Source organism: Homo sapiens, chromosome Y, assembly GCF_000001405.40.
Source record: "Homo sapiens chromosome Y, GRCh38.p14 Primary Assembly".
Classification (NCBI taxonomy): Eukaryota; Metazoa; Chordata; class Mammalia; order Primates; family Hominidae; genus Homo; species Homo sapiens.
In genome coordinates this window covers 26,096,194-26,103,495 of record NC_000024.10, presented here as the reverse complement: position 1 = coordinate 26,103,495, position 7,302 = coordinate 26,096,194, and positions in this window count along the sequence as shown.

Below are 7,302 nucleotides of genomic sequence, written 5' to 3'. Positions count from 1 at the left end.
CTGAGATAACAGGCAAGAGCCACTGTGGCTTCAAAGGCTTTTTAAATAAGTTCCCTATTTCTTAATTTTTTTAAATCACTGAAAATTCTTCTGGTTTATTTATTTGTGATTAAGGAAAATGCATATCTTTATGTGTATTTACAGAACTGTTAACGTGTTTCTACACCTGCCCCCCCAACCCAAAAATGCTAGCTTTGCCTTTATGTAGTAAGTACTCAGCAGTCTACTTGTGGCTGATTCTAGATACATAAATTATTATTTCTAGTCATGTGACTATGTTGATGGTGGCAGATGGAGGGATCTAGAAGCTTAACTGACAACATCTCGATATTGCTGCCAAAGCTACTGTGATCTGAAGGAATAGAGATGAGAAGGATATGAGATATGCATTACTCCATCAGGCAATTGATAGCATGTTTTTCCTAAGAGATTTTATAGCATAGCTTTCAATCATTAAAAAATATCCCTGAGATAGTTCAAATTCTCCTTTCCTTCCATCCTATCTCATACAAACTTACTTCATAGACTCTTGGATTGTGGCAAATCACCTTACACCAAGTAACAGAATACAGAATAATTTCAATGCCTGATATTGTGACTTTACTTCCATTTTTACCCATATAAAGTTGAGTAATATGGACTCATTTGTTTATACATGTTTTATAAATTTCTGCTTTTATTTCTCCATTAATTTTCTTTTTTATTGTCCACCTCTAAATTATATTAATGATGTAGAGGACATGACTTTTGTGGCTTACTCTGATATTGGTATATAGCCAGCAGTGAGATTGCTGGATCATATGGTAGCTCAAATTTCAGATTTTTGGAAAAAATAAAAGATTTGGAAGCAACCTAAATGTCCATCAGCAGATAAAGCGATAAAGAAAATGGGGGAGGGATAGCATTGGGAGATATACCTAATGCTAGATGACGAGTTAGTGGGTGCAGCGCACCAGCATGGCACATGTATACATATGTAACTAATGTGCACAATGTGCACATGTACCCTAAAACTTAAAGTATAATAAAATAAAAACAAAAGAAAATGTGGTACACATACACAATGGAGTATTATTCAGCCGTACAAAAAGAATGAGATCCAGTGATTTCCAACAGCATGGTGGAACGGAGATCATTATGTTAAGTGAAATAAGCCAGGCACAGAAAGACAAACATTGCACGTTCTCACTTATTTGTGGGACAAGAAATAAAAATAATTGAACTCATGGACATAAAAAGTAGAAGGATGGTTACCAGAAGCTGGGAAGGGTAATGGGGGCCTGGTAGGGAGATGGGGATAGTTAATGGTTTTAAAAAAACATAGAAACAATGATTGTGACCTACAATTTGATAGCACACCAAGATGACTGTAATCAATAATAACTTAATTATACATTTTAAAATAATTACAGAGTGTAATTGTATTGTTTGTAGTTCAAGTGATGGGTGTTGAAGGAATGGATACCCCATTCTTCATGATTGGCTTATTCCAGATTGTATGCCTGCATCAAAACATCGCATGTACCCCATAAATATACACACTTACTATGTCCCCACAAAAAAAAATTAAAAAAAATAATATTATGAAGAGACTATACCAAGAGGGAAATAAGCCGTATCTTCCAAAGCATAATTTTTCTTTTACCAGGTTTGTTTTATTTATTTATTTTTTATTTCTCTATCTTTCTCTCTGCTACAAACACACACACACACACCCCTTCATACACACACCCCTTCATACACACACATACACAAGATGATAATCTGGCCAAATGTAAGTTTGGAGATATTGAATTACAGTTTACCATCCAGATTGTCAGGTCTGAAAGCTATTAGAAAATGAAGTATCAATCATCTAATATTTGGAAAAAATTTGTAAGCACATATCATGGAAGTTATTGATAATATGTTCTTTAAGTACTGTAGATTTTAATGCTGCTTTTAATGTTGGTTAAGTGGGAATTTTTATAATCTTGCTGTTTTATAAGAACAGTTAAATCAGAGATAAAATATAATGTATTGCTGCACTAATTTAGAAGGTGTCATGAATACCATACATATGTATGGATGGATATATAGACATAGACCCTTTTTTTTTTACAAACTTCACTGAATTATAGCATTTATTTTTGATGTTCTTTTACTCCAAGTGGTAAAATTACCTTTTTTAAAAAATCACTAATTATGGTAAGTAAATACACTGTAGCCCAAATGTAGGCCCAGCACATTGCTGGTGTCTAGGCAAATTATTCCCCAAACTTACTAATTAGTAGAAGTAGCTTTAGACTTTTACTAGGATAAATGCAACTTTGATTTTATGATGAGATTTATATTTAGTGTTGAGGACTTGTTTGATTAACGAGACTGGTGAGTCTATTAGGAAAAATAACCAAGACCCTCAGGGAGAACTACAAGCCTGAAGATCTAGATCAGCATAATTAGGGAATCCAAATGAGCCTCAAGCCCTAAGTGGGAATCCAAATGAGCCTCAAGCCCTAAGTTAGACGATATTGCTCCCAGACTTTTATCACTGCCTTCATATTCATCTCTGGACTAGTCATTTTCAATGCATGGAAAAAAAATGGGTGCATGTATTTTTAAATTATTGAGGACAGTATCCTACTTAAGCACAATACTGTATTCATGCATTTAAGTGTCATGTAAGGATTAATATTTTGATTTACTCTAAAACAATAAGTTACTGAACTCCTAGAGGCCCATCCTAAATAATATAAATAAGATACAGTCACTATCTGTTGTTCACCTAATAAGTACCTGACACTATGCTAGGAAATAGGAGGTGGGTGGTGGGACTTAATGAGTCTGTCAGTCCATTGTTTTTATATATTTTATATAAATATATATATATTTATATATGTGTGTGTGTATAATTGCTGTTTTAATTATTGAGCATCTGCTATGTGTCAAGCACTGTAATGGACACAACAGACTCAGTAGTATGCAAAACTAGCACACACTTTGACCCCATGGAGTTTGCAATGTAACTAGGAAAGTATATGTGAAACTGAATATTACAAAGAAGAATGCCAGAAGAGCAGGAAATATTTCAGGAAAAAAGAATTATTTCAGATGTTTATGAACTTCACCTACAGTTTCAATCTTGTAAATATAAACATGCTGTTCTTTATACAAAATCCCACTGTGGACTCACAAGCACAGATAGGGTACACGCAGGGATGGTTTTCCCAAAGCTGAGATAAATTGAGATTGAATATCAGCCACCCTCAGCTAATCTCTTAAATAGACACGCATACTTAAGGAATGCTTGGACTAAGTAAGCCTATGACACAGGGTGAAGGCAATGTAACCCCAAATTAAATCAGCAACTTGTTCCCCCTTGGTTCACTTTAATTGTGCTAATTATCAAAAACCTGAATATGTGGTCAAGCTGGGCACAGAAGGTGGTAGAGAACTTCCACGTATTATTATTTACTTTTCAAGTCTCTACACCTGAAAAGCAGAAAAGGCAGGTGCTATTAATACCATTTTATGGATGAAGACACCAAGACTTATAGCTAATAGCCCACCCAAGATCAAAAATACATAACAAGAGCTATTTCCAAACCTCAAAGCACGAATCTCTTGGGTATGAACTCTTGTCTCTTTGCTGAGTCAGATTACTTACTATTCATATACTTTGCATCATTACATAAAAGAAAATTGCTCAGTTACATGCACTTTAAGCCTTTTAGGTATATTCTATCAAAAACACAAGATCAATTCAAAAATAAAAATTGCTTTAAAATTTATAAATTTGAGCTATTTACTTGGTAGTATTCATGTATTCATGACTCAGCAGGTAGCAATATAATGCATGCTTGTCAGATATTATTCACTATAAAATAATAAAATAGTGCATCCCTGGGTAAAATTAAGAGCAAGACTCCATCTCAAAAAAAAAAAAAAATTCTACTCCCAGGTCTACAGAAAAAACGCCAGTTTAAATTAAATTCTGCTTGCTCCCATAGAATAAAATAGCCCTGTGTATTTAAATTACAAAAACAGTAGCCTTTCTGTTATATAAATTTATGTCCCGAATGAGTGTAGTAGATAGTGCATATACCACCACTGATATTTGTAGCTGGGCAATTAGAAACATGTAACTTGCAAACATCTATAATATTTATATTTATAATATCAAATATCTATAATACAGAAAGCCAAACAAGAAGTACAGGTTGACCAAAAAAAAAAAAAAAGAATAAACAGGCCATATGCACAACTGCAGCTCAGTAAAGCATGCTGCTGTCATTTTGTGGTAGATTATAGTTTTACTGTAACTAAGAACCAAACAACTCTAGAAGAAGTAGGTGTGCATTCATGTATGAGTGCACACACACATATTTTTGTTTTCTCATTTTTACTGATAATAACAGTAATAATTATTGCAGAAAATTCAGAAATGGAGTTTTTAAAACTCTAAAAATTGTACAACCATTCAGAAGTAAATGCTACTACCTTTTCCCCACATTTTCTTGCAGATCACCAATTATACATCAGATTTTTATGTATTTATTATGATTATTTCCTCACTGCCATCTATTCTTTATAATGTACTTGAATCACTCTACTATAATTCATTTAAGTATTCCCTTTTTAAAGGAGGTTATGAATTTGCCAGCTCTTTTTCTTTTAAATGTTTGCAAATTCGATAGTTTGAAATAATAACTCAATGATTTATTTGCATTGTATTTATTTGATTACTAGTGACAGTGAACAAGCGTCTCAATGTTAATTGACTATTTTTATCCCTTTATTAGTTCGTTATTTGAGCATGTTCTTTATTTTATTGAGAACAGTATCTTATTTCTCTAAAAACAATAACAATCAAAAGTACATTACTGAGGAAACATATTCATATTTGGCAAATAAAATAATGTGATGGTCTCATAACAACCCTTTCAATGTGATAACTTAGAAATAGTTTTTTTTTTTTTCTAAGTTGTCTTAAGTAACAAATGTTGTCTTTCCAAACCTAGCTTCAGGGGTAAAATAATAATAAAAATGCATTTGAATCCAAAATATGCAAGAATCATTGTGTCCAGCTCCTGTAGGTAGACAATATAAGCTACTGAAATCTGTCTGATGCATAAAACGGGTCCTTTTTCCTCCTTAATGATTCAGTCTGCTGGATTTCCATATTCATATTAACAGTTAAATATTTCTAAGTCATCCAGACAGGACTTATGAACCAGAATGTGATCTTTGTACCAGCGATTCATTTAATACAATTATTTATGGCACTACAGAATTGATATTTTGAAAAAGTATGAAAAAATATCTTAGCATATATAAAAAATCTTTAAATGATATGAAATACTCCGTTTTACCATTATTACTTCTAATAATAACACCAAAATTTGCATTTATCTTATTTGATCCTCACAGCAATCCACAGACCTAGAAAGAAGAGGCGTTTTCATCCTATTTTTATAAAGAAAGAAAGCAAGGTGCAAAAGACATTGAGTAAAAACCCAAGGTGATATGCTTAATTTGTAGCAAGGAAGAGGCTGAAAATTTACCCTTCGGTTTCTAAATCCTTTACTCCCTTTTCCTTAACACTACTGACCCTCCTTCCGCATAATTATAGCATCATTGTCAGAGTTCTAGTTTTCTGTTAACACCCTATTTGGTCTACAGGTGATGTTCAACTACACCTCTCTGTTTACCACCAAACTATGAAAGCGGAAGACAGGAGCTTTCCAGTGAAAACTTCTTAAGGAAACTTAGAGGGTGAACTGTCCTTTCAAATAATGTCTGCTAAGGATAAGTCTCTGGGTTAGCCTGATCTATTTTGTACTCTCATTCACCTGTAGCGTTATTCATACAATTCTCTGAGCCTGGAAGCCTGGAATGAATGCTTTTGTTCATTCTTTCTCTCTCCTTTCTTGCTTTTCTCTCTCCCTCTCTCTCTCTCCCTCCCTCCTTCCCTCTCCCCTCATCTCTCTCATCTGTCTCCACCCACCCCATTCTCCAAGGCCCACCTCATATGCCATCAATCTTTCTCATTATCTTCCACAAATTGAATGTGATAATTCTTGCCTCTGAACCAATGCTACTAAGTAAACTTATCTTTTAATTCAAACCTATACAAGTTGTCTTACTCCCTTATCTGACAATAAAATGCTTTATGGTTTTGCCTCACATATGAAAGTGTTCAATATCATTAAGAAAAATAATGTACAGATACACATCTGAGGAGGTATTGGCATATACAATTGATATAGGCATAGAAGTCTCGAAAATGGGTTTATATCACAGAACAAGAACTACCCATTTGTATTAAAGTACAACCTACTTGCCTAATTGTAGCATGTAGCTGAGAACAACCTCCAACGATGTGAATAGTTTGCACTGGGGCCCTTCAGAAATTGATTACCCTTCCAAAATGCATCCAGCTTTGACTTTAATGACAAGTTCAATTATTTTTTCTCTAAATTCATTGATGGCAATGTGTGTTATTGCCACCTTCTAATTGTAGCTTTCTGCCTCTTTGAATATGTCCCATGGCATAAGTTATGTGCATTTCAGCAATAGAAGCAAAAAACACTTGTGCCCAAATGACATTTGGGACTGACTTCACAATCTGCTCCAGGATTTACTCTAGGTGTTGTTTCCCTAATGTAGATCTTCCAAACTGAACCGCTTCAATCTTTTTTAGTACATAGTGCTGGAGTTGTAAATAACTGCTCAAAAGTCAACTGTGGTATGATCGAGACCCTAAGCAAGAAATTATGTGTAAAGAAAAGATTTCTTCTCTTTCCTAGGCCTGTTAATTCATCAGCAAAAGTAAGCAATTATAAAATAGGAGGGTTTTCCAAGTCTTACTGTGCAGAATCACCTGGGAAGTTTTTATTTGTATAAAAAGCACAGTTTTTTATCCTCATCCCAGTCCTATAGAATGAAAATTTCCAGGGATCGTTCTAATATATCTAGTCCATTGATCCCTGTTGAGATACAATAGGTTATACGGTCTCTAAGGTCTCAGGCATCACTAGACTTTTATAATCCATGAATATTTATGAAATCCAAATGATAATAAGAAAATGCTTTTTCATCCATCTAGACGCATCAGGCAAGGCAAAGAATGCTCAACTGAGTATCAGGAGACTTGGAATAAATCGTGGCTTTTTCATGACTTTGTAATCTCAGAAAAGTCCTTTCCTCTTAGGGCTTCAGTTTTCTCATGTATAAAATAAAATAATTGGATCAAAGCATAATCTAATCTGTGATGCCTTGTGAGTTGTGCCTGCAGAAGTTCAAATAAGATAGATGAGGATA